This window comes from Homo sapiens, chromosome 4 (assembly GCF_000001405.40).
Source record: "Homo sapiens chromosome 4, GRCh38.p14 Primary Assembly".
NCBI lineage: Eukaryota > Metazoa > Chordata > Mammalia > Primates > Hominidae > Homo > Homo sapiens.
Window position 1 is genome coordinate 55,932,895 of NC_000004.12, and position 19,419 is coordinate 55,952,313.

Genomic DNA, 19,419 nt, shown 5'->3' on the forward strand with positions numbered 1-19,419 from the left:
CTGCCATGGATCCTTCCTGCTGGGGGCACCTGCAGAAGTCGTGAAGGTGGGGAAGGAAAGCATCCACCCATGCCTAAGGTGAAACTGCATGGAACCAGCTCACGATTCTCTACAGCAGAAGACGGTGGGAAACACTCCACCGGAGACAATCCTGCTGCTTTTAGCCCCACTTCATTTCCACTTCCAGAGCTACCTGGTGCCACCTGTGCCTTTTGAGGTTTCTACAGAGTCGTTAGGTTGCTCCTGAGCTTTTCCCACTGCTGGATGAGATTCAAAATTTTCTGAGCTAAGTCAGTTTCCAGCTGTCCTTCTGCTATGCAGTCCTCAAATTGTATTGATATTGTCTTCTCTACAATCTCTTTGACCTGATGGTTTTTAAAAAGCACCTTAAAAATTCCTTTATTGGCCGGGTGTGGTGTCTCATGCCTGTAATCCCAGCACTTTGGGAGGCTGAGGCAGGTGACTCACTGGAGCCCAGGAGTTGGAGACTAGCTTGGGCAACATGGTGAAACCCCATCTCTACAAAAAATACAAAAATTAGCCAGTCATGGTGGCACACTCCTGTGGTCCCAGCTACTCGGGAGGCTGAGGCAGGAGAATCACTTGAGCCCAGGAGCAGGCAGGTTGCAGAGATTGTGCCACTGCACTGCAGCCTGAGCGACAGAGCAAGACTCTGTCAAATAAATAAATAAGCCCTTTATTGTAGTTTTAGGGGAGTGAAGGAGGGAGAGAGCTGAAATAACTGTGTATGTTTAACCTGCTCTCCTTAGTTAGATGGTGCAAACTTTTATCGGAAGATTTGTGCCTTGATTCACTTCCGGAAAATTCTTAGCTGTTATCTCTTCAAGCCTGACTTCTCAGCTATATTTGTTTTTCTGTTGCTACAAAAACAAATCACCCCAACCTTAGCAGTTTAGAACAACCCACAGGTATTATATCATAGTTCTGCAGGTCAGAACTCTCTAGGTGGGCTCTGCTCCCTAAATCAAAGTGCCTGGGCTCTTATCTAGAGATAAGAGAATCTGGGGTAGGGCCTGCTCATTCAGATTGGTGTAAGGAATTCATTTCCTACAGCTGTAGGGCTAAGGTTCAGTTAACAGTTGCTGGCTGTGAACAGGCTCTCTCTCAGCCCCTCTAGGATGTTTGCATTCCCCTCAGACTGCCCCTTCCATTTTTGAGCCAGTAAGCCAGCTTGTTATGTCCTTTTTTTTCATCAAGTCCTTCTTATACTTCACTGCTTTTGTTTGTTTTGTTTTGTTTTGTTTTGAAGTGAACCATCTTTCTACTCTCTATCTCCACGAGTTCAATGGTTTTAAGTTTTAGCTCCCACAAATAAGTGAGAACATACAAAGTTTGTCTTTCTCTGCCTGGCTTATCTTAACACAGTGGCCTCCAGTTCCATCCATGTTGTTGCAAATGACAGAATCTCATTCTTTTTTATGGCTGAATAGTATTCCATTGTGTATATGTACCACATTTTCTTTATCCATTCATCTGCTGATGAACATTTAGGTTACTTTCAAATCTTGGCTACTATGAATAGTGCTGCAATAAGCATAGGAGTGCAGATATCTCTTTGATATACTGATTTCCTTTCTTTTAGGAATATACCTGGCAGTGGGGTTGCTAGATCATATGGTAGCTCTATTTTTAGTTTTTGGAGGCATCTCCAAACTTCTCCACAGTGGTTGTACTGATTTACATTCCCAAATATAGTGTACGAGGGTCCCTTTTCTCCATATCCTCTCCAGCATTTATTATTGTCTCACTTTTGGATAGAAACCATTTTAACTGGAGTGAGATGATATCTCATTGTAGCTTTGATTTGCATTTCTCTGATGATCAATTTCATATACCTGTCTGCCATTTGTATGTCATCTTTTGAGAAGTGTCTATTCAGATCTTTTGCTCATTTTTTAAATTGGATTATTATATTTTTCCTTTAGAGTTGTTTGAGCTCCTTATAGTTTCTGTTATTAATCCCTTGTCAGATGGTAGTTTGCAAATATTTTCTCCCATTCTGCAGGTTGCCTCTTTGTTGATGGTTTCTTTTGCTGTGCAGAAGCTTTTTAACTTGATGTGAACCTATTTTATATTTTTGCTTTGGTTGCCTGTGTTTTTGGAGTATTACTCAAGAAATCTTTGCCTAGTCCAATGTCCTGGAGAGTTTCCCCAATGTTTTCTTGTAGTAGTTTCATAGTTCTAGGAGTTAGATATGTCTTTAATCCATTTTGATTTGATTTTTGTATATGAGGAGAGATAGTGGTCTAGTTTCATTCTGCATATGGATATCCAGTTTTCCCAGCACCATTTACTGAAGAGACTGTCCTTTCCCCAATGCATGTTATTGGCACCTTTGTCAAAAATGAGTTCACTCTGGATGTATGGATTTGTTTCTGCATTCTCTGTTCTGTTCCATTGGTCTATTTTTATGCCAGTACTATGCCATTTTGGTTACTATACCTCTGTAGTATTATCTGAAATCAAGTAATGTGATTCCTCCAGTTTTGTTCTTTTTGCTCAGGATAGCTTTGGCTACTCTGGGTCTTTTGTGGTTCCATATCAATTTTAGGATTTTTAAAAATTTCTGTGCAGAATGTTATTGATATTTTGACAGAGATTGCATTGAATCTGTGTTGTGGGAATTCAGGGACCCCGAACGGAGGGACTGGCTGAAGCCATGGTAGAAGAACATAAATTGTGAAGATTTCATGGGCATTTATTAGTTCCCCAAATTAATACTTTTACAATTTCTTATGCCTGTCTTTACTGCAATCTCTGAACATAAATTGTGAAGATTTCATGGACATTTATCACTCCCCAATCAATACTCTTGTGATTTCCTATGCCTGTCTTTACTTTAATCTCTTAATCCTGTCATCTTCATAAGCTGAGGATGTATGTTGCCTCAGGACCCTGTGATGATTGGGTTAACTGCACAAATTGTTTAAACAATATGAAATCTGGGCACCTTGAAAAAAGAACAGGATAACAGCAATGTTCAGGGAACAAGGGAGACAACCATTAGGTCTGGCTGCCTGAAAGCTGGGCAGAACAAAGCCATATTTCTCTTTTTTCAAAAGCAAATAGGAGAAATATCACTGAATTCATTTTCTCAGCAAGAAATAGCCCTGAGAAAGAGAATGCATTCCTAGGAGGAGGTCTCTGAAATGGCTGCTCTGGGAATGTCTGTCTTTTACAGTTGTAGATAAGGGAAGAAATAAGCCCCGGTCTCGCGTAGCGCTCCCAGGCTTATTAGGATGAGGAAATTCCCACCTAATAAATTTTGATCAGACCGGTTGTCTGCTCTCAAACCCTGTCTCCTGATAAGATGTTATCAATGACAATGCATGCCCGAAACTTCATTAGCAATTTTAATTTCACCCCAGTCCTGTGATCTCACCCTGCCTCCATTTGCCTTGTAATATTTTATTACCTTGTGAAGCATGAGATCTCTGTGACCCACACCCTATTTGTACACTCCCTCCCCTTTGGAAATCACTAATAAAAACTTGCTGGTTTTGCAGCTTGGGGGGCATCATGGAAACTGCCGACATGTGATGTCTCCCCTGGACACCCAGCTTTAAAATTTCTCTCTTTTGTACTCTTTCCCTTTATTTCTCAGACTGGCCATCACTTAGGGAAAATAGAAAAGGACCCACGTTGAATATCAGGGGCTGAATTTTAGATTACTTTAAGTATTATGGACATTTTAACAATATTTATTCTTCCAATTCATGAACATGGAATATCCTTCCATTTTTGTGTGTCCTCTTCAATTTCTTTCATCACATGTTTTATAGTTTTGAATTGTAGCAATCTTTCACTTCTTTAATTAAGGTAATTCCTAGGTATCTAATTTTATTTGTAGCTATTGTAAGTGGGATAACTTTTAAAATTCTTTTTTAGATTGTTCACTGTTGGCATGTGGAAATGCTACTGATTTTCATAAGTTGATTTTGTATCACACAGCTTTACTGAATTTATCAGTTCTAATACTTTTTTGGTGGAGTCTTTAGGTTTTTCCAAATATAAGATCATATCATCTGCAAACAAGGATAATTTGACCTCTTCATTTCCGATTTGAATGCTCTTTATTTTGTTCTCTTCTCTGAAATTCTCTAGCTAAGACTTCCAGCACTATGTTGAACAACAGTGGTGAAAGAGGGCATCCTTGTCATGTTCTAGATCTTACAGGAAAGGTTTTTTCTCTCTTTTAGTATGATACAAGCTGTGGCTTTTATTATGTAAAGGTAGTTCCTTCTATACCCAGTTTTTTGAGATTCTTTTTTGAGAAAGGGTCTCACTTTGTTGCCCAGGCTGGAATGCAGTGGTGTGATCTCTTCACTGAAGCCTTGACCTCCTGACCTGAAGCAATCCTCTCATCTCGGCTTCCCAAGTAGCTGGGACTACAGGTGTGTACCATCACACCTGGCTAACTTTTGTATTTTTTTGTAGAGATGGGATTTCACCTTGTTGTGCAGGCTGGTCTCCAACTCTTGGGCTCAAGCAATCTGCCCACCTCAGCCTACCAAAGTGCTGGGATTACAGGTGTGAGCCACTGTGCCTGGCCCTTTGAGGGTTTCCATGAAGGGATATTGAATTTTATCAAGTGCTTTTTCAGCATCAACTGAAATAATCATATAGTTTTTGTCCTTCATTCTGTTAATGTGATGTATCACATTGATTTGCATATGTTGAACCATCCTTGCATCCCTGGGGTAAATCCCATTTGGTCGTAATGATCTTTTAAATGTGTTGTTGAATTCAGTTTGCTAGTAAGTCAGTTGAACCTCTTTTCTTTTTAAATTACCCAGTCTCAGGTATTTCTTTATAGCAATGTGAGAACTGCCTAAAACATCCAGGGACCCTGACCTCAGGCCTTGAAGTTCAGCAGTGACCTTGACTCTGGTCTTCCATGTCACTTGGAACAAAGCTCACTAATGGCTTTCATCCTACTCACCTTTTTGCATTTCTTTTTTGGGTTTTATTTTTACATTTTCTAATTGGTATGTGCTTGGGGCAAAGGGAAGCTAAAGAGTAATCTTGACTGGATGGCCGTTGCACAGCCATTTTGCTATGATATTAATCTATGACTACCTCTTTTCAAAAAAGATATCTGTTGTTCACAAAAAAGTGTTAAATTGTACATGTGCAAGATGTACAAAAGTCATCTATAGAACTCAACTCATTGCCTCCTAGAAATTCCATAAAACAGCTCATTAAGGCATGAGAAAAACAGAGGAGGCATAAAAAGTGGAAACATTAATATATGAATGGGTACAACCAATAGAGCAGTTACATGCTATACAAAGAGTAAGCACATTTTTAGAGTAGAAGTGTTACCAGATTGGAAGTTGGATTTCCAGGTTCTTGGTGTTGCAAACAAAGAATTGGAGGAGACACACAAATAATGACCCCACAAGATGTATTAAGCAAAGAATGTTCCAGAGAGAAGAATGGGCTGATCCGCGAGTGGTATCAGCCCTGGGTTAACATAGCCTTTGTTCTTTTATACCACCTTACTACTCTTACTTAACTTTTAGGGAGGAGGTTGCCTATAATTGACATATCAGTTTTCTTGTTGGTTTTCTCTCTCAGTGCGCCTGCATGTGCTTGCCATTCCATAATTTTAAGTGTATGTATGATATGCATTCCATATGTATGGGCTTTAAGTAACTTATTATAATAAAAGGTTATACCAGATTTGTTTACTGCAGAAAGCATTGGTTCATTGCTTCAGCTTCCTTATCAGATGGTGCCTTATGCTTGTTTTGGTGAGAAAAGGCTGCAGGTTGATTTTCTGACTTCCTTCCCTATTCTCCTGCCTCAATTCCCTCTGAGAGATGTGATCCCCATAAATCATAATAGGTTGCTGAGGGTTGAAGTTCTTTCTTCTATACTTGCTTCCAGCTGAGTGGGACTGCTGGCCCCACCTAACAGGGGACCACAGAACTCTTACCCTGCTCTATCCAGGGGGAAATTAAGAAGTCTGGACTTATTTCTTGTAGGATGATGTCTGGGGCTTCAGGCAACATAGCCATTTGTAGCTTGATAGATTCTAAACATGAAGAAATAAATCTGGTTAGCAAATTTACAGTGTAAGGGCCAAAAATGAACAACCGAAGAATTACAGTTAAGGGTCCTGTAAAATGGGCTATCCAACTTTTTGCAGTTGTTTAAACAGAATTTAGGGTGTTTTGTGCAGTTCATAAATTGGTTATATTAGTTGCCTCAGTCAGATGTCCCACTACCTTGCCTGAGGAGTTAATATAGAAACAACATTCTTCTTTTCGAAAAATGCATAATCCCCTCCGATTAGCTTCGAGGAGACCTAGCCCCCTCCTGTTTTGTAAGACAATGCCTGCCTGGGAATCTATATGTCATTGTTCTTGGATAGCTGCTGTAATTTCTGCCAAAGCCTGTGTTTGTTGTGAAGACAAGTGAAGAGAAATGGACCCAAGTGTGGTTCCTAAAAGTCCTGTTATTGCAGTTGCTAAAGGATGTAATACTGCTGGAACTGCCCTTTTTACAAATGCATGGCTGTGTCTTATATGGAATGGGAATTTTGTACTAGCATTTGCATAAGACAGTCTTGGAAGTAAAGCAGTGATGCCGCAAGTCCCTTTCCATTGGCTCAGAAGACTCATGTACCCTGAATTTCCACATATGAAATAAACTCTTGCCCAGGGTCCAAAGATACTTCATATCCCCATGATGCTAGTTCCAAAGGTGTGTCTGAGCCACTAGAGGAAGTTCCAGTGAGTTGTTCCCATAAAAGTGTTCCAGCCACAGCAAGTTATGCATTAAGCCTAGAGTGGAAAGATAAGCCGAGGTGGAATTTTAAGAATGATCTTTGGACCCCCCAAGCCAAAGCTTGAGCTAGAGGCAAAGATGAATTGTTGATTAACACTGTGGTCCAACCAGTGGAAATATTGGAAGAATTGGTATTACTTGTATATTGAGGTCGCCTTGGATCAGGATACTTAAGGAGGAGGAATTGTTTTTATTTTCCTAGTTTGCAATATGAATTGATTTTTGTTTCTGAGGAATTATAATGTTTCTCTTGATTTGTCCAACTGAGGACAACCTCATATAAACAATTGTTTAGGGATCCCAGAAAGGTCCCATTCGTTTGGTGGGAAGTGAAACAAATTGGGAATTGGCTGTCTGAGGTTAGGTTGTGAAAAACCCTTACAGGATTTGGGGCATTTGTAAAATTTAAATTTGGGTTGTTTCTTATGATCTGAGATAAGACTGTTAGGAATAAGCTTTCCACAGCTGGACTGGGATATGTAACTTCTGACTGGGTGGCAACAGTGACTCTGGCATTGACCTTGACTATATCTTCTAATGGTAATGGTAAAACTTCAGCTGATAGTGATCCTGAGGTACAAATGTAACAAGAAGTTAAGTTAGCGTGGCTAACTGTTGAATCTGTTTTAACACTTGGTATTGAAGCTGGACCCCCAATATTGGTGAAAATAGGATTATGGACATAAAAAGTGGTTCCATTGTGGGGGAAGCAAGCAGTTAAATGATAAATATATATAAATAACTAGGATTACTTACTCCACGGTAACTATGCAACAAAGACACCAGCAAAGTCAGTAGGGATTTACCTATCTTTTGGATGCCTTTTAAACAGGTACTTCAGATCCTCCACAGGTTCACAGGGTAGCGACTGATGGGAGCTTTGGGTTCCAGGTCTGGAGCTTTAGGTATTGCAGGCTTGACCCTGGAAAGATGTATCCAACTATTTAATCCTAACACGTTAACTGCAGAGGGTGGTTATTATAACTTAAAAAGGTCCCTTCCATTGGGTTGTAGCTGCTGAGCAGGTGACCCCTCTTTCCATGTTTTAATAAGTACTCTATCTCCTGACCTAATCTTGGGTTGCTGGTTAGTTCCTCGTATGGAAAGCCTTTCATTCCAGAACCTTTGTAATGCTTGTTGAAATTTTCTCAGATTAATTAGGTATTTTATTAGCCCAGATGTTTCTGGATTAGTTATTCGATCATTAGTTAAGAAGGGTCTCCAGCACAGCATTTCCTATGGGCTCATATTTACTTTTGCCCTTGAGGAGTTACAGAATCTCAAAAGGGGTACGGGTAGTAAACTGACCAAAGTTTCTGATGTTTCCTGGCATAGTTTAGCTAGTGCCCATTTTAGAGTTTGATTAGCTCTTTCTACTTTCCTGGAGGATTAAGGTCTCCATGCTGAACGTAAATAGTATTTAATTCTGAGCACCTTAGCCACCCCTTGAGTTATCTGGGAGACAAAGGATGGGCCGTTATCACTCTGGAGGCTTTGGGATAACTCAAACTGTGGAATTATTTATTTTAAGAGGACTTTTACACCTTCGTTAGCCTTTTCTGCTCTAGTAGGGTAAGCTTCAACTTAGCCTGTAAAGGTATCTATCAGTATTAGCAAAAAACTTGTATCATCTGCAAGCTGGCTCATGGGTAAAGTCCAAATGCCAGTCTTCCCCAGGGTAAGTTCCCCTTCTTTGGACTGGTTCCATTAGTGGAGGGATCTTGTTTCCTGGATTGTTAAATGCACACAGCAAGCAGCCTTGACAGACCTGCTTAGCTACTGAGGCTAAGTTAGACCCAATAAAGACCCTGTTTGCTATGGCCAGAGTGGCATCTCTCCCCATCTGGAAACAGTTGTGCAGGGTTTCTAATAACCTTCCATTGGGCTGCTTGAGGGATATATACTTTTGATCCCATATACTACCAAGATCCTTGTTTCTGTCCCCCTTGCTCCCTTATAATCCGTTCCTCCTGTGATGTGTATTCAGGTTCTACTGGGGAATCATAGAAGGGAAGCAGTGCTAAGATTTTTTGAGATTGCGCCTTGAAGTCCACTGCTTTTGCTTACCTGTCCGTCTTTTTGTTCCCTTGTGCTATAGGAGCTAAGGCCTTTGATACCCTCTACAATGGATTATAGCAATGGCTTTTGGCAAATGTATTGCCTCCAACAACTAGAGAATTTCAGGCCCATGCTCTACAGGCGAGTGGTTCCTAGTTAGTAGTCCTCTTTCTTTCCAAATTGCAGCATTAGCCTTAACCACAAGAAATACATATTTGGAGTCTGTACAGATATTAAGCTTTTTTCCTTTCCCCAATATCAGGACTCAGATAAGAGCAATTATTTCAGCTTTTTGTGCTGACATGCCTTGGGGATAGCAGTTGGACTTCAGTGATAGTGTTGTCATTTACTATTGTATATCCAGCCTGGCATTTCCCATTTGACGCAAAGCTGCTGCCATCTGTGAACCAGTCATTCTCTGAGTCTGGGAGTGGCCAATCTTTTAAATCAGGTCAGCTTACATATGTATGTGTGATGACCTGCTCACATGAATGACCAATTATTGGGCCTGTGGGCAGCAATAGAGCTGGATTCAGGGTATTATGCGTTTTAAGAATTACCTCTGGATTGTCTAGAAGTATAACCTGGTACTTGGTTAACCTTTTCCTCATCATCCAAATATACCTTTTTATTTCCAAGACTGATTTCACCTGATGTGGTGTTAAAATTTCCAGTGGTTGACCTAGGGTGATTTTAGTGTCTTATTCCACTAAAATAGCAGTAGCTGTTTTTGCTTACAGGCAGCCTGGCCACCCCAAGTTCACACGTCCAATTTCTTGGAAAAATAAGCAGTTGGTCTGGGTTCTGATCCCAATTTTTGGGTTAGCACCCCCACAGCTGTGCCCTTCTTTTCTGCTACATGCAAGGAAAGGGGCTTAGTGAGGTCTGGGATGCCAAGAATGGGGGCTTGGCCAAATGCCTGTTTTAACTTGACAAAGGCTTTCCTCACTTCTGGAGTCCATTCTACTAACTCATTTTATGGCCCCCTTGTTGCTTCATAAAGGGGCTTTGCTATGAGCCCAAAATTTGGTATCCATATCCTGCAGAACCCCGCCATTCCTGAAAAGGAACAGAGCTGTTGTTTGGTATAAGGGGGTCCAGACTGCATATGACTTATACCTCTTCTGGGGATATCTGCTGGGCCCAAGGGTTTAGAATATAGCCCATATATTGGACTTATTGGAGGGTGATTTGAAATTTTTCTTTGACATTTTATATCCCCTGTCTTCCAGGAAATTCAAAACTTTTACAGTATTTTAGTCAGATGCTTCCTGGGTTGGGCTACACACAAGAAGGTCATCTACATATTGAAGTATGCTTCCATTTTCCAATAATAATGGAAAACCCTATAAAAATCCCTTTATAGGGTTTGAGCAAAGAAATGGGTGCTATCCCAAAAGCCCTGAGGGAGCACTGTCCAAGTGTATTGTTTTTCTTTGGTATCTGGATTTTGCCTTTCAAAGGCAAAAAGGTGTTGAGACTCTGGGGCCAGAGGAATGGAAAAGAAGGCATCTTTCAGTTTTAGGACCAAGAACCATTTTGCATCCTGTGGCACCTGAGCCAAGACAGTGTATGGATCTGCCACCAATGGATGGATGGGGATAACAGCTTCATTGATTATTCTGAGATCCTATACTAGCTGATATCCCCTGAAGTTTTTAAGATGGATAAAATGGGAGTATTGCAAGGTGAATTGCAAGGCTTTAAAAGTTCATGAGTTAGCAATTCCTGAATTATGGGCCTCCAGCTTGATTGGATATGACTTTCAGTTTGGAAAATAGCTGGAGTCTTTTAAAGCTGTATTTTGACTGGCTTTGCCATTTTGGCTTTCCCTGGTTTCCCGGTATACCAAGCTAGTAGGTTAACCTGTTTGTTAATGGGGTCTGGGACACTGTTTATTTCCCCAACTGTCATCAATCCTGCTGGGCAGTGTTTATATTGTAGTAATTCCCCTATTTTAACCATGACATCTGCCCCTAACAAGCGGACTGGGCAGCTTGGTATTACTAGAAACTCCTATTGGAAAATTTGCTTCTCAAATTGACAAGTTAAAGGAGGATCAAAGGATCTCATTTTTGGCTTCCCCTCCATTCCCATAACATTCATGGACTGGGAGGGAAGTTTTCCTGCACAAGCAATAAGGACAGAGTAATTTGCCGCTGTATCAAAAAGAAACTAAATTTGGGTGCCCATGATGTCCAGAGTTACCTGGGGCTCCTCAATAGTAATGATGATTTTCCTGGACAGGGACAGTGAGGAAGACTCCAGGCCACTTCAGTCTTCATCTAACTCCTCCTTTTACACTGCCAGAGTTTTGACTGACCAAGCCCCTCGGTGGGAGCAGGGGCAGTCAACTGGCCAGTGCCAACGGTCATGACTGGTGCCTTCACATTGATGGCAAGGGCCCAGTGCAGGCTTAGTATGGTCCTTTGCCCAATGCCTATCTTTTTTTGCACTTGAAGCAAGAGTCTTTGCTAGCGTTATCTTTGTAGCCCTTTGTGTTTCCCTTGGATGCTCTTTGGGCATTCAAGGCATCACTAATGATGGCTGCCATAATTCTGGCTTGCTGGGTTTTTTTTTACTCTGTTCCCCTTTTCCTTCCTCCAGTTCATGATTGTTGTACACCATAAAGATGGTGTCAAGGAACTGGTTTTGTCTATGGCCCCCTTTGCAGCTTCTGGAGCTTATGTCTAATGTCTGGGGTAGAGTGACTAATGAAATGTTGTGCCATTAATATCTTGCCTTCAGGAGAAGCAGGATCTAAGTTTGTATATATTTTAAAGGCTTCTTCTAGTCTACTGTAAAACATGGTTGGATTCTCTTCTTTCCCCTGAGTAATCTCCTTAAACTTATCATAGTTTACTCCCTTTGTTACACCTTTTTTCATTCCCCTCAGGGGTGCCTCAAGAAATTTAGTTTGATTATTCATTCTCATGGGGGTATTATATTTCCAAATGGGTTCAGTAGTAGGGACTGTATCTGCTCCCGATCTGTTGCCCTGCAGGCTACATGCAAAATGTTCATCAGTGTCCTGGCGAGCAGCCTCAAATATTCATTCCTTTTCCAGAGGTGTGCAACAGGTGGCCAAAATGAATTGCATGTCTCTCCAAGAAAGGTTGAAAGCCAAAGTCAAAGTCTGGAACCCAACAGCAAATTTCTGAGTAACTGCCCAGTTTTTCCTTACATTGTTGGATATCAGTTATTAAGAAGGAGACCTGTACCCTGATGGGACCCTCAGTTCCTGCCACCTCTCTGAGAGGTAGCAGGACAGGTGGTGTCATTGAATATGGTGTTCCTAAGCTAGTATGGGGAGGGATCGCTAGGACCCGTGACTCTTGTCCTTCTTTTGAAGCTTCAAGTGCACTTGGACCTGGATTATAGGAAGGTGGCTATTGTTCACCCTGACACATATGTACCCCTTGCAAGAGGGGGTTATCTACAGTATTCGGCTCAGTTTTAGGAGTTTCTTTCTGTGGAGAAGTGCTGGGAGCTTTGAAAATGGTAGGCTTTTGGTATAGGGCCATGAAGGCTTGCACATATGGTATTTCTGACCATTTGCCTTGTCTCTTACAAAATAGTTCTAATTGGAGGATGGTGTCATAATTGAGACTTCCATTGACTGGCCATTGCTCTTGACTCCCTAGCTGAAATTGAGGCCAAAAGGTGTTACAATAAAATATTAGGCATTTCTTTCACAGGTTTTCAGGGTCAAATTGATTCCAATGATTGAAGATGCAGCCAAGAGGGGAGTCAGATAGGACTGAAGGAATGTTTCCCAACACTAATCTGTGGAAAAGAAGAAGGGAGTTGTCAGGCCTCTGAGCCCAAGCCAAGCCATTGAATCCCCTGTGACTTGCACATATATGCCCAGATGGCCCAAAGTAACTGAAGAATCACAAAAGAAGTGAAAATACCCTGCCCCGCCTTAACTGATGACATTCCACCACAAAAGAAGTGAAAATGGCCAGTCCTTGTCTTAAGTGATGACATTACCTTGTGAAAGTCCTTTTCCTGGCTCATCCTGGCTCAAAAAGCTCCCCCACTGAGCACCTTGCGACCCCCACTCCTGCCCACCACAGAATAACCCCTTTGACTGTAATTTTCCTTTACCTACCCAAATCCTATAAAACTGCCCCACCCCTATCTCCTTTCGCTGACTCTCTTTTCAGACTCAGCCTGCCTGCACCCAGGTGAAATAAACAGCCTTATTGCTCACACAAAACCTGTTTGGTGGTCTCTTCACATGGACGCGCATGAAAGGAGTCTCATAGGTTCATGAGTTTACATCTAGAGTCTCCCTTAAGGGTGTCCCCTATTGAAGGATCTGGACTGTAATTTTGGTCCATTTGGGCATCCCCCAAATGGACCTGTCCTCTGAGTGCCAGACGTCTCTAGCCATAGTGGGCACCAGTGCCATTTGAAGAAGGATCCTGCCATAATTGGTGACCTATGATAAGTTTCCCTTTAGTTCCTGGGTGTAACCTTTGGCTTCTAGTATCCCTGTAGCTGGCCAAAAGAGTTTCTTCCCAAATGGTTTCCTTAATTATTGTAGTAACTCTAGTTTGAAGGGCAAGGAATTGCAGACTGCCTAGTTTAAATTTGTTATTAGAGACTGGCCTCTCAATAAGATAGTAGAGTGCCCTCTGACTATATGAGATAAACCAGGCACAGTAATTTCCCCATGGATCCACTGTGCAATTTATGCAATGATCCGAGAGTCTCCACCAGGAGTTTTCTTTTAGCACCAGATGTACTAAACTAAAACAATCTAGATCTGATCCCTCACAGAAGAAGCAGGGTACTCTCATTATCCAGGTGGTTGGCCCTAATCTTCAGGCTGATGCTAATCCTTGGGCTCCCCACAGTCAGTTACCTGTTGTCCTGGCCCTTTGGGTTGGGGGGAGATCTCTAATTGGTCAAAACATGATATCCCAACACAAATGAAGAAAAGAAAAAAAAAATAAAACAAGCAGCAAGGCTGGGCACGGTGGCTGGCTGGGCATGGTGGCTCATGCCTGTAATACCAGGACTTCGGGAGGCCGAGGTGGGCGGATCACCTGAGGTCAGGAGTTCGAGACCACCCTGGCCAACATGGTGAAACTCTGTCTCTACTAAAAATACAAAAATTAGCCGGGCATGGTGGTGGGTGCCTGTAATCCCAGCTACTCAGGAGGCTGAGGCAGGAGAATTGCTTGATCCCGGGAGGTGAAGGTTGCAGTGAGCCGAGATCATGCCACTGCACTCCAGCCTGGGTGACAGAGCAAGACTCCATCTCAAAACAAAAACAAAAACAAAAACAAAAACAAAAACAAAAAAACAAGCAGCAAATAATGTAATAATTATAGCCACACAAACATGCACCTCACTGTTGCAGGGATTGATCTTGTACCCCGTGGGACCCATCTGTTCCATTCCCCAATCAGGTTATCCTGTCACGTTGAGGCAGGAATTTAAAGAAAGTTTTGTACTGCATTTACTCACTCTAAGGATAGTAACAAGCAAGGCTATAGGAAGGTCATGGTGACCTAGTCTAAGAAGCCAGGAATGAGCTCCAAACACCCCTGAGCAATGGTTAAGAAAAACAAATTCCTTTACTGTTTCTCTTTCCTTAGACCATTAATTATGATTATTTTTGCCTATGTTTAGAAAGATTTGTAGGTTCCTGTTTTTCTTTTGACGCAGCTGCAAGGCCACCAGCTAAGCAAAGCCAAAAGTTATGCAAATTTCAGCAGTTATGCTATAGATTACAAAACCTGTCACTGTGTGATTTACTGCCTTGGTTCTGCTTTTTTAATTTAGCCTATATAAGCCAAGCTCTGTCTTTGTTCAGGGCTCAGCTTTTTGGATGCAAATCCACGGAGCCAGTGCACACCTTAATAAAATCCTCCTGCTCCACCCATTGGTCTTTCTGGTCCTCTGCTTTCCCGCAACAATGGGAGTCTTCAAGCGGCCAGTGCCTTTTTCGTTCTTAACTGCCCAATCCGTGCCAGCAGAAGGCAGCTTTAAACCAAAGTGAAAGAGCTGAAGCAAAAAAGAAAGAAAATAAAAAGTCCCAGTTCTTCTGGGCTTACCTCCTGGCTGGCTCACCAAAATATGTTACCAGATTGGAAGTTGGGAGTTCCAGGTTCTTGGTGTTATGAACAAAGAATTGGATGAGACACACAAATAACCACCCCACAAGATTTATTAAGCAAAGAATATACCAGAGAGAGGAACGGGCTTATCTTCAAGTGGTGTCAGCCCTGGATTAATATAGCCTTTGTTCTTTTATACCCACTTCCTACACTTCTTTAACTCTAGGGAGGGGATTTCCTATAATTGTCATATCTGTTTTCTTGTTTTTTCTCTCTTAGTGCGCCTGCGTGAGCTTGCCATAATTTTAAGTGTATGTATGATAGGCATTCCATAGGTATGAGCTGGTCAGTCTTCTGACTTCCTTCCCTATTCTGCTGCCTCAGAAGGCCTATTTGGGAGAAAAGTAAACAGGAAAGAATGAAACTCCCTCTGACTGTCTGGGAAATTTTCAGGGGAGAAATGGAATTCTAGGATTTTACTATGTGTTTTCCATCTGTGAGTGGACTATAACGGTTTATTTCAATTTAATTCCACTCACAAATGTTTTGCTGAGTAGAATAGTCTCTGACTCAAGGAATTCACATTTGGGGGCGGCAGAGAGAGACGGATCAACAAATGATTGTATTTTGATGGATGAATTCTATGGTTCTACAGAGAGCCTGCGGGAGATACTATTGTGGGATAATTAATTGCATTGGGTGGTTGTCAGGGAAAGTTGCAGAGACAACGTGATATCTGCGTTTGGGGATTACGTGGTGAGCAGGCGTTCACCTTGCAGGTGAAGGCTACTCCGCTGCAGGGACCGGTACTGGGGCGGCGTTTGTTCCCCGCACGCAGTAGGTGATCCACACCTCCCGCCGACAGGAGGAAGAGGATGCCAGCTCAGGCACCAGCTGAGGTTTGGCATTTGCTGGCCGCGGGCGCCGACCTCCAGGGGGCGCCGTGGCCTCGCGCTGTCCGGGCCGTTGCATTTCCGGGCACTGGGGCTCCGCCATCGTCGCCAAGCGCGTCCCCGCCGCGAGCCGCTAATCGTCCGCCGCTCCCGTTACCGGGGCAACCGCGGCGCCTCCTCCGTGTCGGCCCCGATCGTCCCTCCGCGCCATTTTCAAACTGCTCTAGCGCCGGAGCCCGTGCCTGGACGGAAGGAGCTAGTGGGGGACTCGAGGCCTGAGGGCAATGCGGCTGGAGGCGGAGGCAACGGCGGCTGGAGCTGCCGGTGAGTCCGGATGTGGGAGCCAGAGGGCCAGCTGCGGCGGTGGTGGCGCCTTCGCCTTCTGGGCGGTACCCGCGGGCCGGGCTCGGGCACTGCCGGGAGGCCGCGCGGCCGCGGGAGGAAGTGAGGCCAGGCCGGGTCAGACCGGGCGGGGAGGGGCGCGGGGACTCTTCCCACCCACCCCGCTCCCACACCCCCTTCCCGTCAACACCCGACGGTAAAGTTGCAAACCGGAGATTGGGTGGAGGAGAGCTTGGGCCGACTCGTCAAGGAGCGTCTGTGTGGGCCGTGCAGACAGGCTTGCTGTTGACCAATGGATAGATTTAAACATTAAAATGCCTTCTCAGTGTAGCAGTCATCCATGCTCTTTGTAACAAAAATGTCGCAAAGCGTAGGACGACAGCCTTTAATTAACCTTTGCCCAGCTCCTTTGAAGCCTCTCCACTGCTTTCCAGCCTTTACTACTTTGAGTTCAATAAGAAAGGACTCTGAGATAACCACAGCTAACGGGTTTCTTTGTTGTCGTTTGGGGTTTCTTGTTTATCTTCTTAAGCCCTGTGCACACATACATACAGCATTAAATGTACTGGTTTTGAGACGCCAACCCCCAGAGTTAAGTAGATGGATACTTCTACACATATATGTATGGGGGACCCCCAAACCTAACCTTTTATGTTGCTTTGCTAGAAACTTAGAGTATAGCCACCATATTTGGATGGGGGTTATGGGGAAAGACAACAGTTCATGGGTGGGGACGGCCTAACATGTTTCTATCTGGGAGGATTTTAATCCGTCCTGTGTATTGAGGCCCTGGCCATGATTTATTGATTCATATTCATTCTCATTCTCTCCCCTCCAAAGCAGGATGTGAGGAGGTATTATCTCTGGGTAACTGGAGTTGGTAGCAAAGAGGGGAAATGTTTTGAGTGGTGCACCGCCTGTAAGTTTACACCCTGCTAGTAATACACCTGGATTTGTCAGGTGTATTTCTGATGTCTGCAGGAATTTCCCTAAAAACCCTGCATCACTTAGGTGTCTCTTGTGGAAAGAACCTAGGAAATCTATGAGGAAGCCATTCAAAAAAAGTTAACAAGAGCAAAGAGAAAGATATACAGAAAGGAGTGACCAAGGAGAGACTCAGGAGACCTGGTCTCTGATGACTGCCCACCTACTTTGTGGCCCCGTGGTTTTGGAAGAGTTACTTTCTTGAGGCAGCCTTTCCTCATGTTTAAGTAGGGATAATATCATTGGTCTTTCTCCCTCACAGGGTAGCTGTGAGGATCGACTTTTACATGTATGCTCATGCATGTAATGCATTTTTTATATATTGTGAAGAACAACAGATGTAAAACAAAATTTTTATTTGGCTTAGAAATACGAGTACCATGACTACAGTTAGTTAGCAAAGGTTAGAAAAGAGCAGAGTTTCTAAAGAAATGATCTTTGGGCTGAGCATATTGGCTCACACCTGTAAACCTAGCACTTTGGGAGGTAGAGGTGGGAGAATACCTTGAGCTCAGGAGTTGGAGACCAGCCTGGGCCACATAGCAAGACCCTGTCTCTAAAAAAGGTAACAATTAAAATAAAAAAAAAAAAGAAATGCTCTTTGGATAACTCCATTTTAGGGCAGATTGATAGGAATATATTCATAAATATTTAAAAAGACAAAGATAAAAACTTGAACAGAGGTACTTATGTGTGTCTTTTTTTTTAATTGAAGTGAAATTTACATGATGAAATGCATAGAGTTTAAGTGTACTATTTGAAAAGTAAATTCTCTAAATGTATACACTTGTGTAACCACTACCCCAATCAATGTAATATTTTCATTACCCTAAAAAGTTGTGTCTTAACTCTTAACGGGCAATCTGCAGCCCGCCTCACCTCCCCAGACAACTCTTGTTTTAATTTCTGGCCCCATAGTTTTAATTTTACTTGTTCATCAACTTCATGTAAATGGAGTCATACAGTATTTGTCTGGTTTCTTTTGCTCAAATAATGTTTTTGAGATTCATCCATGCTGTTGATGTGTATCAGTAGTTCCTTTTATCCCTTAGTATTGCACTGTATAAATATATCATACTTTACCCCTTCTGCTGTTGATGGGGGTTTAGGTTGTTTCCAGTTTGGGGCTACTATGAGTAAAGCTGTGAACATTCTTGTAGAGTATTTTTGTGAATATTTTTTATTTCTATAAATACCTGGGAATAAAATCACAGGGTTATAGTCCAGAAGTATGTTTAACTTTATAAAAAAACTGCCAGACTTTTTCCAAAGTGATTTTACATTCCTGTCAGCAATGTGTGAAGATTCCAGTTGCTCCAGATCTTTGTCGACATTTGCTATTGTCGGTCCTTGTAATTTTAGTCATTCTAGTTTGGGAGAAAATGTACCTTGTTGTTTTAATTTGTATTTCCATGTTGACTACTGTTGAGCACCATTTCATATCATCATTCCCATTCAGACACCTATGCGAGGTGTCTGTTCGAATCTTTAGCGCAACTAAATTACAGTTTTAGCCCAAATTAATGTTCTTATTGGGATGTTTGTCTTATTATTGAGTTGTAAGAATTCCTTTTATATTCCCTATACAAATCCTTTGTCAGATATTGTGAATATTTTCTCCCACTCTTTGGTTTGCCTTCTCTATTTTAATTGAGTATTTTGATGAGCAGACATTTTAAATTTTGATGAAGTCCAATTTATCAAATTTATCTTTTATGTTTAGTGCTTTTAAAAGAGGCCTCTCTGAGAAGTCTCTGCCTACTTCAGGCTTAGGAAAAATCTTTGTTTTCTCCTAGAAGCTTTAGGATTTTAACTTTTACATTTAGTTGTATGAGGAAGTATTTATTTTAATGCAGTAACAGGAATATCATAAGCATTGGCTTTAAATCTGAATTTTCCAGAAGGCTACCTACCTGAAGAAAAACAAAAAATAATTGCTTCATATTAAAATAATTTTTTCTTCTTATTGTGAAACAACAATCATAGCTATAATAAGATAATGATGTTTCATTCTTTTCTCTCAGGACTTTAATTTTTGGAAGTGAATAAAACTTGTTTTAGAAGACGAGATGACTACAGCTGTAGAGAGAAAGTATATTAATATTAGGAAAAGGCTGGATCAGCTGGGATACCGCCAGACTCTGACAGTGGAGTGTTTACCTTTGGTAGAAAAACTTTTCAGGTAAAGACAAAAATACAGTTTTCAACCTTTATGATCCCTAACCACTTACCTCATTTCTGATTGAACTTCA

General features: G+C 42.1%; 1 protein-coding gene and 1 long non-coding RNA gene across 13 annotated transcripts in view, besides 4 other annotated features; one reads left to right on the forward strand and one right to left on the reverse strand.

The window, feature by feature from the left end:
* The window catches only part of EXOC1-AS1 (EXOC1 antisense RNA 1), a 58,421-nt gene extending 43,303 nt beyond the window's left edge, over window positions 1–15,118 (reverse strand). For 6 of the 11 annotated variants that reach the window (XR_941066.4, XR_941069.4, XR_941068.4 and 3 more), the window contains exons 1-3: window positions 14,946–15,118; window positions 7,623–7,738; window positions 5,963–6,061 (exon numbers count right to left, since the gene is read on the reverse strand). This is a non-coding gene — a long non-coding RNA (EXOC1 antisense RNA 1). Of the gene's footprint in view, window positions 1–5,411; window positions 6,062–7,622; window positions 7,739–14,746; window positions 14,896–14,945 lie in introns of those variants that run through there. The other 5 variants (XR_007058123.1, XR_002959795.2, XR_001741696.2 and 2 more) reach the window with 4 other exon arrangements.
* Window positions 14,860–15,009: an enhancer, noted in NCBI's record as "active region_21575". NCBI's record gives its function as "activates an Ori minimal core promoter by ATAC-STARR-seq in GM12878 lymphoblastoid cells {active_cell/tissue: GM12878}" and the evidence as "EXISTENCE:reporter gene assay evidence [ECO:0000049][PMID:35858748]".
* Window positions 15,628–16,592: an enhancer, noted in NCBI's record as "OCT4-NANOG-H3K27ac hESC enhancer chr4:56814688-56815652 (GRCh37/hg19 assembly coordinates)". NCBI's record gives its function as "activates a minimal SCP1, AML or CMV promoter by ChIP-STARR-seq in primed H9 embryonic stem cells {active_cell/tissue: H9 hESC(primed)}" and the evidence as "EXISTENCE:reporter gene assay evidence [ECO:0000049][PMID:30033119]".
* Window positions 15,807–15,946: a silencer, noted in NCBI's record as "silent region_15446". NCBI's record gives its function as "represses an Ori minimal core promoter by ATAC-STARR-seq in GM12878 lymphoblastoid cells {active_cell/tissue: GM12878}" and the evidence as "EXISTENCE:reporter gene assay evidence [ECO:0000049][PMID:35858748]".
* Window positions 15,997–16,456: a silencer, noted in NCBI's record as "silent region_15447". NCBI's record gives its function as "represses an Ori minimal core promoter by ATAC-STARR-seq in GM12878 lymphoblastoid cells {active_cell/tissue: GM12878}" and the evidence as "EXISTENCE:reporter gene assay evidence [ECO:0000049][PMID:35858748]".
* The window catches only part of CEP135 (centrosomal protein 135), an 84,417-nt gene continuing 81,048 nt past the window's right edge, over window positions 16,051–19,419 (forward strand). For both annotated transcript variants that reach the window (NM_025009.5, XM_006714055.4), the window contains exons 1-2: window positions 16,051–16,165; window positions 19,192–19,349. In NM_025009.5, the coding sequence (NP_079285.2) occupies window positions 19,237–19,349 (113 nt within the window). In that variant the 5' untranslated portion in view covers window positions 16,051–16,165; window positions 19,192–19,236. The remainder of the gene's footprint in view (window positions 16,166–19,191; window positions 19,350–19,419) is intronic.